This window comes from Homo sapiens, chromosome 15, assembly GCF_000001405.40.
Source record: "Homo sapiens chromosome 15, GRCh38.p14 Primary Assembly".
In the NCBI taxonomy this organism is placed as follows: Eukaryota; Metazoa; Chordata; class Mammalia; order Primates; family Hominidae; genus Homo; species Homo sapiens.
This window is the reverse complement of record NC_000015.10, coordinates 100,542,635-100,562,781: the sequence shown is the minus strand read 5'-3', so window position 1 is coordinate 100,562,781 and position 20,147 is coordinate 100,542,635. Positions and strand designations below refer to the sequence as shown.

At 48.7% G+C, this 20,147-nt stretch overlaps 1 protein-coding gene, 1 long non-coding RNA gene and 3 pseudogenes across 9 annotated transcripts in view; 4 read left to right on the top strand and 1 right to left on the bottom strand.

The window, feature by feature from the left end:
* RNU6-181P (RNA, U6 small nuclear 181, pseudogene) lies at window positions 2,001-2,095 on the top strand (annotated as a pseudogene).
* LOC102723335 (uncharacterized) lies at window positions 2,983-4,116 on the bottom strand. Its single transcript, NR_135693.1, has 3 exons — window positions 3,960-4,116; window positions 3,337-3,469; window positions 2,983-3,147 (listed from the first exon to the last, which is right to left on the bottom strand). It is a non-coding gene; the product is annotated as an uncharacterized LOC102723335 (long non-coding RNA).
* Window positions 3,499-15,030, top strand: PRKXP1 (PRKX pseudogene 1; annotated as a pseudogene). The gene has a single exon (NR_073405.1). The product of NR_073405.1 is annotated as a PRKX pseudogene 1 (transcript).
* Window positions 10,860-10,962, top strand: RNU6-322P (RNA, U6 small nuclear 322, pseudogene; annotated as a pseudogene).
* CERS3 (ceramide synthase 3) overlaps window positions 18,099-20,147 on the top strand; it is a 144,289-nt gene continuing 142,240 nt past the window's right edge. For 3 of the 7 annotated variants that reach the window (NM_001290342.2, XM_011521355.3, XM_017022002.2), the window contains exon 1: window positions 18,496-18,658. The gene's annotated coding sequence lies outside the window, so the exon portion shown is untranslated. Of the gene's footprint in view, window positions 18,136-18,368; window positions 18,659-20,147 lie in introns of those variants that run through there. The other 4 variants (NM_001290343.2, XM_011521357.3, NM_178842.5 and 1 more) reach the window with 3 other exon arrangements.

Below are 20,147 nucleotides of genomic sequence, written 5' to 3'. Positions count from 1 at the left end.
CAATAATTGAATAATAGAAGTATCAGAAAGAGAAAAAAGGACTGGAAAAGAGAAAGTATAAAAGAAATTCAAGGAAAGTTTTTAGAACTGAAAGACTTAGTCTTTAAATAATGTGTGCAAGTATAACTGGAAAAAAGAATTTAAAAAGGAGGAACAGGATCAACCTGAAATAAAGAGCCATCGTTTCACTGGCATGCTGAGATGCTGCTCTGTTTACTGAAATAAGAAAGTAGGAAGCCTTAGGAGGAAGAAAAGTTCAGTTCTCACCTGAGTGACTTCTGACACTGTTATCAGCACAGCGTGGCATCCAGCAGAGAGTTAGAAATGCTCTGTTGGAAATTAGAAGGACAGAGCCAAATATGAGTCATTTGTGTACAAGTATTATGAAAATCGTAGAAGAAAGTGTGATTGCGCTGAGAGTGGAGAGAGAAAAGGTGAGGGTGGGTCGGGGGAGTACTGGATAGAATAAGGAAAGTGAGGGAAATTTGAGGCAGGAGAACAGAAAATTCTATGAGGAAACTAAGAAAGGTTTTATAGAGCTTTGAGAAGGAAAATTTATGTGGGGTTTAGTATCTCTGAGAGCAACAGTGGGATGAGATCCGAGAAACCACCAGATGGTTTGACCCTTAGGAAGTAGCTGATGATGTTTAAGAGAGAAATTTTAGGTGGACTCAAGTGTGCACAGGAGGGGAAGAGGTAGAAACCAAGGATGGTGGTTTTCAATTTATTTGTATTCTCTGCACACAAATAATACTGGCATTTTGGGTTGCACCTTTGAAATGACAGGCTGAAAACAATACCATTCAAGTCAGAAATAGTTTTAACACAATCACCAAAGGCAATGTTCCAGAAATCCAAAATATCTCCCTGGGCACCAGCTGGACTTGCTGCTGTACCTCCTACCTCTTCCTTAACACAACCCACTAGGGCTGCACTTGGCAGACATGGACTGCCCAGATGTTTGGACACTTGACCTAAATATTAAACTTTAATTGGTCTTGATTGTCACTTATGACAGTATAAAAATTGTCTTGCTTTATCAAAATGCACATTCAAAAATTATGGTTGACAAAATGCCTTTTCTAACAGTAGGATCATAGATCAGACTAGCAAACCATTTCTGAGTTTTTCTGGTTATTTTAAAGAGGGTAGAACTGAACTCACATCAAAGCCTTTACAGTAAACACCATGTATCCCCTCTTAATTGCAAAGCTGGCCTATATATTTTTTTAAGATAAAGGAAAAGCAAACAGTGATCCCTTTCTAAGTTTGCAGTTCACAATGAACCTTACCAAGTAGTTGGAATGAACTGTAGTCCAGTTACTTACTGCATTGGGTACAATACATGCTTGTGTACACCCTGGATTGCTTGTGTTTTTCCTTTTCAGGATTTTTGCTTTGTTTTCAAAGTACACTTCTCTGATATTTATTTTAAATTTACTTCACATACTGTTTTTTTGCAATGGAATCTCACTATGTTGCCCAGACTAGTCTCAAACTCCTGGGCTCAAAGGATCCTCCTGCCTCAGCCTCCCAAGTAGCTGAGATTACAGGCACACACCACTGTCCCAGCAGTTCTCTGATATTTAGAAGCATTGAGATATGGAATGTGATCTGCCTGTGATTTTCTTTCCAGTGAGAATGGCTCAGGTGTTTGCTGTTTGGTAGAGCCTACCCAATCATTGAAGGCAGTAGAGTTGAAGCATGGTTTTACCTGAAAAATGTGCAATGGCACTATCCTGGCTCACCACAACCTCCACCTCCTGGGTTCAAGCAATTCTCCTGCCTCTGCCTACCAAGCAGCTGGTATTACAGGCATGCACCACCACACCCAGCTAATTTTGTATTTTTAGTAGAGACAGGGTTTCTTAGTGTTGGTCAGGCTGGTCTCTAACTCCTGACCTCAGGTGATCTGCCCACCTAGGCCTCCCAAAGTGCTGGGATTACAGGCATGAGCCACTGTGCCTGGCCATCTGAAAAGCACTTTCTATGCTTATATTGGCAGCACATATACTAAAATTGGAATGATACAGAGAAGATTAGCATGGCCCCTGCTCAAGGATGACATGTAAATTTATGAAGCATTTCATATTTTGTAACTTTAAAAAAAAAAAAAGGCACTTTCTAGGGGTGGCAATCAGAATGTCTGTGTGTTTTTTAAGTGCCTCAAGCCTCCTGTCAGACTCATTTCTCCCTTTGAGGCCTGTGAAGTAAGCACCCCAGAAGCACACTTATAATTGCTGATGACATCTTTTTAAGCTATTCAATAAATTATGAGGAAGTGCAGGTTTCCCCACAGCTAAACTTCTTTTATTTGCTAAGGACCATATATTGTCCATCTCCAAATCAACAGATATTTGTTTTTCTGCAAAACACAAAAGACTACTTGTGTAAAACAGAATTGGATTTTTAACTGTCAGTTTTCCTGAAAATTATCTTTTAATTTTTTTTCTGATTGTGCTATTTTTCTCCACAATAAAGAGAAAGGGTTCCCCTGACTCACTGGACTATTGACAAGTACATCATTTTTGTATCGCATAGCATTTTTTTTTTTTTTGAGATGGCATCTCATTCTGTTGCCCAGACTGGAGTGCAGTGGTGCAATCTTGGCTCACTGCAATCTCCACCTCCTGGGTTCAAGTAATTCTCCTGCCTCAGCCTCCCAAGTAGCTAGGATTACAAGCGTGCACCACCATGTCCGGGTATTTTTTTTTTTTGTATTTTTAGTAGAAATGGGGTTTCACTGTGTTGGCCAGGCTGGTCTCAAACCCCTGACCTCAATTGATCCACCCCCCTTGGCCTCCCAAAGTGCTGGCATTACAGGCGTGAGCCACCACGCGTGGCTCACATAGCATTCTTTGCTTGAATATAGCATATGCCCTCTTGATTGTGTGTCATTTTTAATATGTACAATAAACAATTTGACGATTACATGGAAGGGAAAATGGGTGACGAAAATAAAATTAATTGGCAACAGCCTTTCCACCATACAAGTGAGTTTTATTACAAATTGGTAATAGAATCAGGGTAACATTTGGGGGTGATCACAAATAGCTGAGTCTTGGAAAGGGCTGTATGGACAGAAGGCATGTCAGCGCAGCTTCACCTGGGGATTTGGAAACAGGGCTCAACAGCTCTCTACACTTCCTGGATTGGTAAGAACAGAGAAGAAGCCACCAGGATTTCATCAGAGGCTTTTTTTTTAAACAGCATAGTAAGAAGTAAATAAATAGTACTGCTTATTTTGTTACTCAATAGTCTGCTGTGGAGGATGGCCAAGGCCTGCCTCTAGTGAAGATGTGTCATTCCAGTTGTTATAGGCCAATGGTGACATACCCAATGTGGGAGGCTGGATTCACAAACACAGCAGCATGCCATTTGGAATAGTGATATGTAGAACAGACGATGCTGGGATGCTTAGGCAGTCCAAATTGTCCACCTTCACTGTGCTACTTGAGTTGTGAATCAGCTGGTAAAAAACAAACAAAAACACCGTAGAGCACGCTGGCGGCTACCAAGCTGGAGGAGGCGGCGGGCGCGAGACTGGGAATGCGCAGGGCCCCCTCCCTGCCCCCACAGCCTGGGCCACGGGCCCCATCTTCCCCGCTGCTGCGCGGCACTCAGTGCCCACCCCCCGACGAGGCCGGCAGCTGCTCCCACCCGGGGGCGTTGTCAGCTGCGCCGGGCCGCGCGCTGGGAGGCGAGGGCACGCATGGGGAGCCTCCGTTGATGCCACCACCACGCCGCCCTCCGAGGCTGCGTCCCGGGAAGCCCGGCTACCCGAGCGCTCCGGCCTGGCCCGGTGCCCCGGACCTGAGTGTGTCCGCATGGAGGAGCCCCGACTGGCCCAGGCGGCCGTGGCGGAGAGCGACCCCCGAGAGGTGTGGGAGGAGACCCCCGGCTGGGCACCCGCATTCTGCCCCAGCCCCAAGGCCTGGTCGCCGGAGCCGCCTGCCCACCGCCTGCAGGACTTCGACACACTGGCCACCGTGGGCACTGGGACGTTCGGGCGGGTGCACCCGGTGAAGGAGAAGACCGCCAAGCATTTCTTCGCCCTCAAGTTGATGAGCATTCCTGATGTCATCCGCCTGGCAGGAGCAGCACGTGCACATTGAGAGGTGTGTCCGGAAGGAATCATCCGCCCGTCCCTCATCTGCGTCCGGAAGGAATCCCTTCCTCATCTGCGTCCGGAAGGAAGTCATCCGCCCGTCGCTCATCTGCGTCCGGAAGGAAGTCATCCGCCCGTCCCTCATCTGCGTCCGGAAGGAAGTCATCCGCCCGTCCCTCATCTGCGTCCGGAAGGAAGTCATCCGCCCGTCGCTCATCTGCGTCCGGAAGGAAGTCATCCGCCCGTCCCTCATCTGCGTCCGGAAGGAAGTCATCCGCCCGTCCCTCATCTGCGTCCCGAAGGAATCATCCGCCCGTCCCTCATCTGCGTCCGGAAGGAAGTCATCCGCCCGTCCCTCATCTGTGTCCGGAAGGAAGTCATCAGCCCGTCCCTCATCTGCGTCCGGAAGGAAGTCATCCGCCCGTCCCTCATCTGCGTCCGGAAGGAAGTCATCCGCCCGTCCCTCATCTGCGTCTGGAAGGAAGTCATCTGCTCGTTCCTCATCTGCGTCCGGAAGGAAGTCATCTGCTCGTTCCTCATCTGCGTCCGGAAGGAAGTCATCCGCCCATCCCTCATCTGCGTCTGGAAGGAAGTCATCCACCCGTCGCTCATCTGCGTCCGGAAGGAAGTCATCCGCCCGTCCCTCATCTGCGTCCGGAAGGAATCATCCGCCCGTCCCTCATCTGCGTCTGGAAGGAAGTCATCCGCCCGTCCCTCATCTGCGTCCTGAAGGAAGTCATCCGCCCTTTCCTCATCTGCGTCTGGAAGGAAGTCATCCGCCCGTTCCTCATCTGCGTCCTGAAGGAATCATCCACCCGTTCCTCATCGGCGTCCCGAAGGAAGTCATCCGCCCGTCCCTCATCTGCGTCCGGAAGGAATCATCCGCCCGTCCCTCATCTGCGTCTGGAAGGAAGTCATCCGCCCGTCCCTCATCTGCGTCTGGAAGGAAGTCATCCGCCCGTCCCTCATCTGCGTCCTGAAGGAATCATCCGCCCGTCCCTCATCTGCGTCTGGAAGGAAGTCATCCGCCCGTCCCTCATCTGCGTCTGGAAGGAAGTCATCCGCCCGTCCCTCATCTGCGTCTGGAAGGAAGTCATCCACCCGTCCCTCATCTGCGTCCTGAAGGAATCATCCACCCGTTCCTCATCGGCGTCCCGAAGGAAGTCATCCGCCCGTTCCTCATCTGCGTCCTGAAGGAATCATCCACCCGTTCCTCATCGGCGTCCCGAAGGAAGTCATCCACCCGTTCCTCATCTGCGTCTGGAAGGAAGTCATCCACCCGTCCCTCATCTGCGTCCTGAAGGAATCATCCGCCCGTCCCTCATCTGCGTCTGGAAGGAAGTCATCCGCCCGTCCCTCATCTGCGTCTGGAAGGAAGTCATCCGCCCGTCCCTCATCTGCGTCCTGAAGGAATCATCCGCCCGTCCCTCATCTGCGTCTGGAAGGAAGTCATCCGCCCGTCCCTCATCTGCGTCTGGAAGGAAGTCATCCGCCCGTCCCTCATCTGCGTCTGGAAGGAAGTCATCCACCCGTCCCTCATCTGCGTCCTGAAGGAATCATCCACCCGTTCCTCATCGGCGTCCCGAAGGAAGTCATCCGCCCGTTCCTCATCTGCGTCCTGAAGGAATCATCCACCCGTTCCTCATCGGCGTCCCGAAGGAAGTCATTCGCCCGTTCCTCATCTGCGTCCTGAAGGAATCATCCACCCGTTCCTCATCGGCGTCCCGAAGGAAGTCATCCGCCCGTTCCTCATCTGCGTCTGGAAGGAAGTCATCCACCCGTCCCTCATCTGCGTCCTGAAGGAATCATCCGCCCGTCCCTCATCTGCGTCTGGAAGGAAGTCATCCACCCGTCCCTCATCTGCGTCTGGAAGGAAGTCATCCGCCCGTCCCTCATCTGCGTCCGGAAGGAAGTCATCCACCCGTCCCTCATCTGCGTCCGGAAGGAGGTCATCCGCCCGTTCCTCATCTGCGTCTGGAAGGAATCATCCACCCGTCCCTCATCTGCGTCCGAAGGAAGTCATCCGCCCGTCCCTCATCTGCGTCCGGAAGGAGGTCATCCGCCCGTTCCTCATCTGCGTCCTGAAGGAGGTCATCCGCCCGTTCCTCATCTGCGTCTGGAAGGAAATCATCCGCCCGTTCCTCATCTGCGTCCGAAGGAAGTCATCCACCCGTCCCTCATCTGCGTCCGGAAGGAAGTCATCCGCCCGTCCCTCATCTGCGTCCTGAAGGAAGTCATCCGCCCGTTCCTCATCTGCGTCTGGAAGGAAGTCATCCGCCCGTCCCTCATCTGCGTCCTGAAGGAATCATCCACCCGTCCCTCATCTGCGTCCGGAAGGAATCATCCACCCCTCCCTCATCTGCGTCCGGAAGGAGGTCATCCGCCCGTTCCTCATCTGCGTCCAGAAGGAATCATCCACCCGTCCCTCATCTGCGTCCAGAAGGAAGTCATCCACCCGTCCCTCATCTGCGTCCGGAAGGAAGTCATCCACCCGTCCCTCATCTGCGTCCTGAAGGAAGTCATCCGCCCGTTCCTCATCTGCGTCTGGAAGGAAGTCATCCGCCCGTCCCTCATCTGCGTCCGGAAGGAATCATCCGCCCGTCCCTCATCTGCGTCTGGAACGAAGTCATCCGCCCGTCCCTCATCTGCGTCCTGAAGGAATCATCCACCCCTCCCTCATCTGCGTCTGGAAGGAAGTCATCCGCCCGTCCCTCATCTGCGTCCTGAAGGAATCATCCACCCGTTCCTCATCGGCGTCCCGAAGGAAGTCATCCGCCCGTCCCTCATCTGCGTCTGGAAGGAAGTCATCCGCCCGTCCCTCATCGGCATCCTGAAGGAATCATCCACCCGTTCCTCATCGGCGTCCCGAAGGAAGTCATCCGCCCGTCCCTCATCTGCGTCTGGAAGGAAGTCATCCGCCCGTCCCTCATCTGCGTCCGGAAGGAAGTCATCCGCCCGTCCCTCATCTGCGTCCTGAAGGAAGTCATCCGCCCGTCCCTCATCTGCGTCTGGAAGGAATCATCCACCCGTCCCTCATCTGCGTCTGGAAGGAAGTCATCCACCCGTCCCTCATCTGCGTCCTGAAGGAATCATCCACCCGTCCCTCATCTGCGTCTGGAAGGAAGTCATCCGCCCGTCCCTCATCTGCGTCTGGAAGGAAGTCATCCGCCCGTCCCTCATCTGCGTCCGGAAGGAGGTCATCCGCCCGTCCCTCATCTGCGTCCTGAAGGAATCATCCACCCGTTCCTCATCGGCGTCCCGAAGGAAGTCATCCGCCCGTCCCTCATCTGCGTCTGGAAGGAAGTCATCCGCCCGTCCCTCATCTGCGTCCTGAAGGAATCATCCGCCCGTCCCTCATCTGCGTCCGGAAGGAGGTCATCCGCCCGTTCCTCATCTGCGTCTGGAAGGAATCATCCACCCGTCCCTCATCTGCGTCCGGAAGGAAGTCATCTGCCCGTCCCTCATCTGCGTCTGGAAGGAATCATCCACCCGTCCCTCATCTGCGTCCTGAAGGAATCATCCACCCGTCCCTCATCTGCGTCCGGAAGGAGGTCATCCGCCCGTTCCTCATCTGCGTCCGGAAGGAATCATCCACCCGTCCCTCATCTGCGTCCTGAAGGAATCATCCACCCATCCCTCATCTGCGTCTGGAAGGAAGTCATCCGCCCGTCCCTCATCTGCGTCCTGAAGGAAGTCATCCGCCCGTTCCTCATCTGCGTCTGGAAGGAAGTCATCCGCCCGTCCCTCATCTGCGTCCTGAAGGAATCATCCACCCGTTCCTCATCTGCGTCCTGAAGGAAGTCATCCACCCGTCCCTCATCTGCGTCTGGAAGGAATCATCCACCCGTCCCTCATCTGCGTCCTGAAGGAATCATCCACCCGTCCCTCATCTGCGTCTGGAAGGAAGTCATCCGCCCGTCCCTCATCTGCGTCCTGAAGGAATCATCCACCCGTCCCTCATCTGCGTCCTGAAGGAATCATCCACCCGTTCCTCATCGGCGTCCCGAAGGAAGTCATCCGCCCGTCCCTCATCTGCGTCTGGAAGGAATCATCCGCCCGTTCCTCATCTGCGTCCGGAAGGAATCATCCGCCCGTCCCTCATCTGCGTCCCGAAGGAAGTCATCCGCCCGTCCCTCATCTGCGTCCCGAAGGAAGTCATCCGCCCGTCCCTCATCTGCGTCCGGAAGGAAGTCATCCGCCCGTCCCTCATCTGCGTCCGGAAGGAAGTCATCCACCCGTCCCTCATCTGCGTCCGGAAGGAAGTCATCCACCCGTCCCTCATCTGCGTCCGGAAGGAAGTCATCCGCCCGTCCCTCATCTGCGTCCGGAAGGAATCATCCACCCGTCCCTCATCTGCGTCCTGAAGGAATCATCCACCCGTTTCTCATCAGGCTGTGCTGGACGGGGCATGACTAGCGCTTCCTCTGCAGGCTCATGGAGTATGTTCCGGGCTGTGAGCTCTTCAGCTACCTGCGCAACCGGGGGCTCTTCTACTCTGCAGAGATCATCTGTGCCATCCTGCACTCTAAGGAGATCATCTACAGGGACTTGAAGCCGGAGAACATCCTGCTGGATAGGGACGGACACATCAAGCTCACGGACTTTGGGTTCGCCAAGAAGCTGGTAGACAGGACTTGGACCCTCTGCGGAATACCCGAGTACCTGGCCCCCGAAGTCATTCAGAGCGAGGGTCACGGAAGGGCTGTGGACTGGTGGGCCCTCAGCATCCTGATATTCGAGATGCTCTCGGGATTTCCTCCATTTGTGTGTGTGTGTGTGTGTGTGTGTGTGTGTGTGTGTGTGTGTGACAACATGTTTGGCATTTATCAGAAAATTCTTGCAGACAAGATAGATTTCCCCAGACATTTGGATTTCCATGTGAAAGATCTCATTAAGAAACTGCTCGTGGTTGACAGAACAAGGTGGTTAGGAAATATGAAGAACGGGGCGAATGATGTGAAACGCCATCGGTGGTTCCGCTCTGTGGACTGGGAAGCTGTTCCTCAGAGAAAACTGAAGCCTCCCATCGTGCCCAAGATAGCCCGCGAAGGCGACACCTCCAACTTCGGAACTTACCCCGAGAATGACTGGGACACAGCCGCGACCGTGCCGCAGAAGGGTTTAGAAATCTTCAAGAATTTCTGAGGACAGGAGCTCACATCTGGAAGAAGCAGGAAGGCTGGAATCTGCCTGCAACAAAGAGCTGCTCCTGAGCAGACCAGTAGCAATGTCTTCTTCACGTGATAAGGACATTTCCACTTTTCTGTCTTTGTGCCTGTATGTATAGAAACAGATCAGAGCACAGTTGAAATTAATGTAACTGGCATTATTTAAGCAACTGGAATTCCACACTGTAGGAAGGTTTTGAAAATTGTTTGCTTGTAGATTTTATCTTATCCTTTAGTGTTGTGTTCCTACTGTGATGTCTTGGTTTTTCTCATAGACTTAAGTTTATAAGTTTGAACTGGACTTGTTCAATTATAACCACAAATTGTGTGTGTGTGTGTGTGTGTGTGCATGCGCGCGCCTGTGTGTATATATAGAAGTCATTATGGCAGATCCACAGAAATTGTGCAATGATGTAAATGTTCATACTTCACAGAGCCTATAATTTTTATTTTTCAATTTGTTTTTTCAAAAATCTCTTCTCTTGGGGACAACATCTGAAGGGTCTGTTGCATGGATTTAAAAAAATCATCTCACATGCATTTTTTAGTTTGGGTGAAGAAAACATCATGGGGAGGTCCATCTTCAGTATCTTTAGTGCTTCCTACCTGGTAACTTGAGACTTTAAAAGAAGAAACAAAGAGAAGAAGATATGGGAGTGAATTTATTCCAAGAATCTACAATGACATTGAAGTTGTTGGAGGAATATACTGTATTTAAAAAACCTGTGTCACATTCAAAAATTTCATCTAAGCTGGGCGCAGTGGCTTGTTCCTGTAGTCCCAGCACTTCAGGAGGCTGAGGTGGGTGGATTGCTTGAGCCCAGGAGTTGGAGACCAGTCTGGGAAACATGGTGAGATGTCATCTCTCTACAAAATACAAAAAAATTAGCCGGGCATGGTGGCGCTTGCCTATAGTCTCAGCTACTCGGGAGGCTGAAATGAGAGGATCACTTGAGCCCGGGGAGGTCCAGGCCGCAGTGATCCGAGATCACACCACTGCACTCCAGCCTGGGTGACAGAGTGAGACCCTGTCTAAATTAAAAAAAAAAAAAAGGCAATGGCTTTGTGCTTTTGAAGGTGGAATGAAAGGTGGAATGAAGACACATCCACCTTAAGGCTTTAAAAGACCATGAAGCTGGGTGCAGTGGCTCACTCCTGTAATCCTAGGATTTGGGGAAGCCAAGGCAGGAGGATTGCTTGAGCCTAGGAGTTTGAGACCAGCCTGGGCAGCATAGCAAGACCCCATCTCTATAAAAGGAAAAAAATGTTAAAACACAGTGAAACTGCAGAAACAGAACATAGCCACCCTTTTTCATTAATGACCTTTTCTTCACGTGGTGGTCAACTCAGCAGGTGAGAATAATTAGTAGGTTCAGTAGAATAAAGTCTTTACAATTAATAACTTAGTGGAAAATGATGTTCAGATGATGAAATGTGGAAATGTTTTAGACAGCTGTATTTTCAGCCTGTGTGTCTCAGTCACCATCCTGTTGGGATTAACAGTTGAGGGCCATCATTTTCTAAACATTTCACATGCAGTTTCCCATAATTTTTACCGTGAATGTGAAAAGGTGAAACTGGTGCTGACTTCAGCGGCAGGTATACTAAAATTAGAATGACACAGAGGAGATTAGCATGGCCCCCTGTGCAAGGAAGATCCAGATTCATGCCGCATTCCATATTTTTTTTTAAAAAAGGTTACACTGTGCACCGAGATGTGCAGCTAGAAGGAAGAGCATGAAGTCTCGTGTTTGCTGACTATAAAAATAAATCATAGTAATAATATTGTTGAAAATTCTGCTTTAAAAATTATTAATAAAACCATAAATGAAACACTATTCTTGAGCACACTTTAAAAAGTACATAGACCCATAAGTCCATGTACTAAAAAATGCCTATTTTTAGGTTGCCTGTTTTGTAATCCAGGATTTCATACTGAGATGAAAATTAGCATCAGGAAAAGCCTGAAATGCCTTGCCTTAATTGTGAACAGATACTGGGGAACCTGCCCCGATATTCACGTAGGTTCTTTTCTGTTTTCCTTAAGCATCGGCCAGCTTGAGAAATAAAGGGACAGAGTACAAAAGAGAGAAATTTTAAAGCTGAGCGTCCGGGGGAGACATCACATGTCGGTAGGTTCCGTGATGCCCCACAAGCCACAAAAACCAGCAAGTTTTTATTAGGGATTTTCAAAAGGGGAGGGAGTGTGCGAATAGGTGTGGGTCACAGACATCAAGTACTTCAGAAGGTAATAGAATATCACAAGGCAAGTGGAGGCAGGGTGAGATCACAGGACCACAGGACCGAGGCGAAATTAAAATTGCTAATGAAGTTTCGGGCACCATTGTCATTGATAACATCTTATCAGGAGACAGGGTTTTTGAGATCAACCGGTCTGACCAAAATTTATTAGGCGGGAATTTCCTCTTCCTAATAAGCCTGGGAGCGCTATGGGAGACTGAGGTCTATTTCACCCCTGCAGTCTTGACCATAAGAGATGACCACGCCCAGGGGGGCCAGTTCAGAGACCCACCCCCAGGCGCACATTCTCTTTCTCAGGGATGTTCCTTGCTGAGAAAAATAATTCAGCGATATTTCTCCCATTTGCTTTTGAAAGAAGAGAAATATGGCTCTGTTCCGCCTGGCTCACCGGCAGTCAGAGTTTAAGGCTATCTCTCTTATTCCCTGAACAATTGCTGTTATCCTGTTCTTTTTTCAAGGTACCCAGATTTCATACTGCTCAAACACACATGCTGTACAATTTGTGCAGTTAATGCAATTATTACAGGGTCCTGAGGTGACATACATCTTCGTCAGCTGACAGGATTAAGAGATTAAAGACAGGCATAGGAAATCACAAGAGTATTGATTGGGGAAGTGATAAGTGTCCATGAAATCTTTACAATTTATGTTTAGAGATTGCAGTAAAGACAGGCATAAGAAATTACAAAAGTATTAATTTGGGGAACTAATAAACGTCCATGAAATCTTCACAATCCACGTTCTTCTGCCATGGCTTCAGCCGGTCCCTCCGTTTGGGGTCCCTGACTTCCCGCAACAAACAGATATGCATGAAAATGAAATATGCAAAGCACATTGATGACCTTGTTCTTTACGGACATTGTAATCAGCCTCTAGCCATACAGAACAAATGAGAAATTAGAAGCACTTCCAAGAACGTGTGATGGTGTGAAACCCACTTTTGACCATCATGCACATTTCAACATTTGAAGTGAGACAGGCTACCTGGTAACTGCCCCATGGCGGGGTCATAGTTTAAATGGCCCAATGTCCTGTAGAGGTTAATTTAATCAAAATGAGCTATAAACATAGAACAATCACTATGTATAATTTTAAAATAGTTTACCTGGCCCGTCATGGTGGCTCACGCCTGTGATCCCAGCACTTTGGGAGGCCGAGGTGGGCAGATCACCCACGGTTGGGAGTTCGAGACCAGCCTGGCCCGCATGGCGAAACCCCCATCTCTACTAAAACTACAAAAATTAGGCATGCTGGTGGGTGCCTGTGGCCCCAGCTGCTCAGGAGGCTGAGGCAGGAGAATCGCTTGGATTCGGGAGGCGGAGGCTGCAATGAGCCAGGATTGTGCCTCTGCACTCTAGCCTGGGTGACAGGGCAAGACTCCATCTCAAAAAATAAAAATAAAAATAGTTTATCTGGGTGGGCATTCCAAAATTTCCGCATAGATGATCACGTGAAACAATCACTGTGCTAAATGTGGAGGAAAATTCATCACGATAATCACAAAATTTGTATCAGAAAAAAATTACAAATGTACTTTGTTTCATGTAATTTTATGAGTTGGAAGTATTTTCTTAAATTGGAACACTATAAGATAATATCTTTAGGAAATGGATATGCCACAATAGGAAGTATAGTGGGGCAAGTCTTGTTTTTCTCAAGGGAAAAGCCACCAGCCTGCTTTCATAGGCATTGATAAAACCAGGAAGAAAATAAAGTCACAACCAAATAGTATACACTGTCTCTACTGAATTCTTCTAATTCCTTCCCAACAGAAGTCTAAATCCTGCTTAGCCTAAACATATCTATAGCCAGCGATGGGCAAATTATATTTGCTGTCAGCATGATAGAATAAGAATCAGAAACCCCCCAGCAGTGGGGTAAGATCGTGCACTTCATCCCCTCAAAATGCTGTCAACCCCATTCCCTCTCCATGCCCTCAAACAACTGCACAGTCACTTGTTAGTGAATTTCTCGTTCAGCGTTTTGTTTTTTTCTCTCCATACTTAAAGACCAAATCATTTGTTTGCTCTGAAGAAAAAGAAAAAACAAAACAAAACAAAAAACCACCCACCAAATCATTTGAAATCACTACCCGTTAAAAAAAATCACCAGTGGAACTAAACAGTTGAGTGGTTTGGGATGTGTTCGCCATTTCTGTGTTTGACCTACATGGCCTCTAGTTCTTTGGACCACTGTAACTGTGAAACCATGGCTTAATACTGTTAAAGACCCCAAGGCTCAACTCTGTAGCCAGGGTGTACCTCAGGCTGCACAAATATCACACCAGAATGTCACAATCATTCATTGCTCCAGCTACTGAGTGAACAGGGTGCAAGACAGCACTGGCTTGGGTTGTATTTTTGCAGCCAGTTAACTTTGCATCAGGTCTACACAGTCCTTGCAGCCTTTGATTTCTCCAGTTGTAGAGATTTGAAATGGGGTGCCCGGGTTCCTCTCGTTTTTCCTTCAACCTACCTAGCATGCATTTTACACACATTGGAGGAGTCTTATGCACTGTTTTTCTCTGTTGCTGATGGAGGCAAGAAGGCCTTCTAATTAGTCTAACTTAAACGGACGGGATTCACCTAACAAAAGCAAGAAGAAAAGCACAAGAACAGGTGTCTTAATGCATTTGGATAATTTATTTGGGGTGTGTGCGTGTGTGTGTGTGTCTTGGTGGAGGTGGGGGCCGTGTTCTCACCAAGCCTTTTCATAATCAAGTTTGCTTTGCAAACTTTATGGCCTTACACCCAGCAGAACAGTCCTTGCTAATAAAAGGAGGATGCCCTGTCACAGTTCTCTGTAAATTATCATGTGTTGGGAAGTTCTGTTGATGCTTAGTTTGATCTTCCATGGTGGACACATCTGTTCTGTATGTACAAGGCATTACATGTGTGTTTTAGCGGATGGGAATTGAAGCCTTTCCACAGTCCTTGTGCTCTGAGATGGCTGTTGAGCTCTGCTCAGCTGTCGTAGCTGAATTCTTTTTTTGTGCTGAACACTGGGCAGCCTCACCATGTTGTCAATGTGCTTCTGGGGCCCCTGTGACTGCTGCCAGATGCCATGCACACAAGCAGAGTGCCTTTGCAGGTTTGTGCACCCCTTGGCGAGCTGGAACTGGGAGCCCTGTGGGGTGATCTCGCCTTCTCATGGGGGGTCGGGGAGGGGAGTGCCTATTTTTAATCTTGTCTGTTTGTTGCACCATGGAAATCACTGTGATTTGTATATATGCCCTAGGAAATTTTTACTGCAGTCTAATTTATGTAATAATGTTGATTCCAGGTTTGTTTAATAAAGCTTTGTATCTTTTAAGAAAAAAAAAACTGTAGCATGTAGAGGAAAGTGCACTGGGATAATCCAAGGCCAGGCTTTGAGGTTCCACCGCTACATTATGTGACTCTTAGTCTAAACCTTTTGGTGTAATTTCTTTGGTCTGATTATTTATAAGTAGCAGATAATAAATGAATTTTATACTACAAACACAAGTGACAAGCTTTTGCCTCTTCTTCCTTTTTATTAAAGTAAAACATACATAGGTGTAACCTCTTAAATAATTTTTCTTGTCATAAATTACATATTTGTCATTTTATTGTAGTGTTTCCTTTGTTTTCTTTTGGGTTGCATATGGATTGTTAGTGATTTGTATTTCTCTCTTATAGTTATTTGGAAAATATATCTGCTTTAAATCATTGCCTTTCTTTTTTTTGAAACCAAGTCTCACTCTGTCACCCAGGCTGGAGTGCAGTAGCACAATCTCAGCTCACTGCAGCCTCCACCTCCTGGGTTCAAACAATTCAGTCTCAGCCACCTGAGTAGCTGGGATTACAGACGTGCACCACCACACCCAGCTAACTTTTGTATCTTTAGTAGAGACAGGGTTTCACCATGTTGTCCAGGCTGGTCTCCAACTCCTGACCTCAAGAGATCTGCCCGCCTCAGCCTCCCAAAGTGCTGGGATTATAGGTGTGAGCCACCATGCCCAGCCAAATCATTGCCTTTCTATGCTTTTATTTTTTAGTTTTTTGGAGACAGGGTCTACCTCTGTCATCCAGGCTGGAGTGCAGTGACACAATCATGGTGGCCCACTGCAGCCTTGAAACTCCTGCGTACAAGTGATCCTCCCCTATCAGCCCCCCGAGTAGCTGAGACTATAGGTGTGTGCCACCATGCCCAGCCTTTTACATTTGTTTGTAGAGATAGGGTCTCACTATGTTGCCCAGCTTGGTTTCAAACTCAGCCTCAAGTGATCCTCCCACATCAGCCTCCCAAAGCACTAGGATTACAGGCATGAGCCTCTGCACCCAGGCACTTTTCTCCTCTTTTCAAAAAATATGCTTGAAAATTCCTTTTTTTAGTCATCAAAGCCAAGACTGAAGTAAATTATGCATGTAATGGGCTTCCTGCCCCCTCCAGCTTTCTGGCCATTGTTAATTTCACTTGAATTTATAAACCAAATTGCTATTCCCAATGATTTTTTACACTATACATCTTCTCCTTAAATTTTATTCTTGACTTTTACACTACATCTTGTTATCACCATTATATTTATTATTTAGTCTTTACTCTATTTCATGATGTGTCTAATGAAAAAATCTTAATTTGTGTTCCTTTCTTTGGTAATGTTTCCAGGAAAAATGGCTGGGTTATGTAAGCATCCCAACAATTTCCTAAGAAGAAAGATATATTTTCTGAGACTTTGTATATCAGAGTATGTCTTTTGGTTGCCATTCTTTTGGTTAATGGCAATATGATGTCTTTTATAAACCCATCCCACATTTTTTTTTTTTTTGAGACGGAGTTGCTCTTGTTACCCAGGCTGGAGTGCAATGGCAGAATCTTGGCTCACTGCAAACTCTGCCTCCCAAATCTCAGCCTCCCAGGTAGCTGGGATTGTAGGCATGCACCACCATACCCAGCTAATTTTGTATTTTTAGTAGAGATGGGGTTTCACCATGTTAGTCAGGCTGGTCTTGAACCCCTGACCTCAGGTGATCCACCTGCCTCGGCCTCCCAAAGTGCTGGGATTATAGGCATGAGCCACCACGCCTGGTCCTCTTTACTTCTTCATACCCGATTTGATCTTCTTCCGTGTCAATTCAATTCATTACATCCAAAACAGGTTTTACTCATGAGGGAATTAGTGTGTCAAAAGGCTATTAAAAAGCACTAACAAGGCTGGGTGTGGAGGCTCACATCTGTAATCCTAGCACTTTGGGAGGCCAAGGTGGGCAGATTGCTTGAGCCCAGGAGTTGGAGATCAGCCTGGGCAACATGGTGAAACCCCATCTCTACAAAAAAATACAAAAATTAGTCGGGTATAGTGGTTCACGCCTGTCGTTAGTTACTCAGGAGGCTGGGGCGAGAGGATCACCTGAGCTCAGCAAGTTAAGGCTGCGGTAAGCTGTGATTGTGCCACTGCACTCTAGCCTGGGTGAGAGTGAGACTCTGTCTCCAAAAAAACAACAACAACAAAAAAAGAGGTTGGGCGCAGTGGCTCACTTCTGTAATCCCAGCACTTTGTGAGGCCAAGGCAGGTGGATCACCAGGTCAAGATATTGAGACCATCTTGGCCAACATGGTGAAATCCTGTCTCTACTAAAAATACAAAAATTAGCTGGGCGTGGTGCCGCGTGGCTATAGTCCCAGCTATTCGGGAGGCTGGGGGGGAGAATCGCTTGAACCCAGGAGGCAGAGGTTGCAGTGAGCCACAGCACCCCAGCCTGGTGACAGTGTGAGACGCCATCTTAAAAAAAATAATAATAAATAAAATAAAATAAAATAGAAAAAAAAAGCACTAAAAAGCCTGAAGTCACACATCCCAAAGTTAGTGAATGAGTGGAGTTTAAACCCAGGGCTGTATGGCTATCATGCCTGTTTTCCCCTACTCTGCTACACTGTCTCCTCTGTAAATGTTTTGTTTTGTCTTTTGGAGACAGGGTCTCACTCTGTCACCCATGCTGAAGTGCAGTGGTGCCAGCACAGCTCACTGCATGTAAATGGTTTTCCTAGATTTGTATTTTAATCAAATATTCAGAGAAACAATGCTCCCTGTTCTCTCTCGCTGGGGATGGTTTCATTGCCTTATCTTATCTATTTTCTATTTTTCCGTGTCTGTTAATTCAGCCTCATAATGGGAAATGGCTGCAGACCTGGGCTTGCTGGCTGAGATAATCCATGGGTGCTTATGGACTTACTCCAGAAGGGCTTCCCCTTCCTATCAACAGCCTGTAGACCCTTCGTGTTTTCACCTTCTGAAGAGGTTGTGTAAGGCGCTGGGTTCGGAATCACGGAAGGCCCAGGTGCAAACCTCAGCAGTCCCGGGTACCAGCTGTGCAGCGCAGGTGAGCCGCTTAGCCCCTCTCACCCAGTCACGAGTGATGGTGTCTCGCGAGGCCGGTGTAGGACGAGTGTGGTCCAGGCGCAGTACCTGAAAAGGGCGCCCAGGGAGGGAGCCGGCGGTCGTTGGGCGCTCTCTCGGCCCGCACCCGGGCATCCCTCGACCCGGGCTGGAGGGGCAGTGTCCCGGGATGCACCGCTGCGGGGACCCCCCGCCCGGCCTCGCGGACCCGCCTCGGCCCAGGACGGAGGAGGAGGCAGGTGCGGGGCCCGGGGCGGGTGCGGGGACGGCAGGTGGAGGGAAGAGGGCATCGGGCCCTGCTCACCGCGGTGTGTGGGGCTGCCCGACCGCGCCCCCCGCAGGTGCCGCCCAGACCCCGGCCGAGGGTCCTCGTCCCCGCGCAGGCCCAGGTCGAGGCCGAGAGAGGGCCCGTGTCCCCGCGCAGACCTAGGCCGAGAGAGGGCCCGTGACCCCGCGCAGGTCAAGGCCGAGAGAGGGCCCGTGTCCCCGCGGAGGTCAAGGCCGAGAGAGGGCCCGTGTCCCCGCGCAGGTCAAGGCCCAGAGTCCCCGTGCTCGCACAGATGGTGTCCTGGGGCCCAGTCGCGCTCCCCGCTCGCGGCAGCCCCCGTGTACTGGGCCTTGCAAAGTCCGTTAGGAGCGCTCCAGGGCGACAGTGCCCAGCGGTTAACAAGTTTGTAATTACTTTCGTGGGTTTCTACGTTGCAAATTGAGAAGAGGGTTGCTGGGTTGGGCCCCCCTCCTCTGGACGCTAACCCCACCCAGGTAAACAGGGATCTGGCCCAGGTTCCTGCTGGGTGCCGAGGTGGGGGATTCAGTGGGGAGCACTGAAATGTGCTGGAGGCCTGGACGTGATTCCACTGCCACCACCCCCTTTCCCCCGGCTACAAAGCCTCCTGCGGTGTGCTTTGTTTTTCCCAGGTAGCAGTTATTAGCCCTGTATCATGACTAAACGAACACTAAAGATACCCTTTTACTTATTCTCAAATTCAAAACATGTATCAGGGGTCCAGAATTATACATGCTAGGACCTCAAAGGTAAGAAAGGCACCCACCCACAGCCACGTGCGGTGGCACACGCCTGTAATCCCAGCACTTTGAGAGGCCAAGGTGGGCGAATCACCAGAGGTCAAGAGTTTGAAACTAGCCTGGCCAACATGGTGAAACCCCGTCTCTACTCAAAATACAAAAATAAGCCGAGCGTGGTGGTGGGCACCTGTGATCCCAGCTACTGGGGAGGCTGAGGCAGGAGAATCGCTTGAACCCAGGAGGCAGAGGTGACAGTGAGCCGAGATCGCGCCATTGCACTCCAGCCTGGGCAACAAGAGCAAAACTTCTAATAAAAAAAAAAAAAAGAAAGAAAGGAAGGAGGGAGAGGAAGGGAGGGAAGGAAGGAAGGAAGGAAGCCTTCTCTTGTGGTCATAGTTCAGAGGACTGAATCACTCTGATATTTGAGCTTACCCTCAATTTCAAAACTCTCATTAGAAAATGTTTTTAAATCACCTGAAATGAGAACAAAATCTAAGTAGTATGTGGAGTGTAGAGATGGTAAAGCAGTCCAGTTAGGTTGGTTTGGGCAGCGTAAGTGTGCATCGTCATGCATTAACCAACAGAGAACCAGTGCCAGGGTCCACACCAACAGTTTTCAAAATAAACAGTCTCAATTAGACCTGAATATGACAGGTGTGGTGGCTCATGCATGTAATCCTAGCACTTTGGGAGGCTGAGGCAGGTGGATCACCTGAAGTCAGGAGTTCGAGACCAGCCTAGCCAACATAGTGAAACCCTGCCTGTACTAAAAATACAAACTAGCCAGGTGTGGTGGTGGGCACCTATAATCCCAGCTACTCAGGAGGCTGAGGCAGGAGAATCACTTTAGCCCAGGAGGTGGAGGTTGCAGTGAGCTGAGATCCTACTACTGCACTCCGGCCTGGGTGACAGAGCAAGACTCCATCTCAAAAACAAACAAACAAAAAAATTTGACCTGAATAGGCAACAGAGTTTATCACAAACAGATAGCATAGATAAGTATTATTTTATGAAAATGTGGTTTCAGTTATATACATGTGTATATATATATATGTATATGTTCATACATATACATATATATTTGTAGGGGTATTTGTATTAGATCATGATATAACATGTATTTATTGTGAATTACATTCTTAAAATTGTTACTGAGTTTGAACCAAGACAAATTCGTTACATATACAGAAAGTGCCCTATGGTAGTAATAATTATTGCATACTAA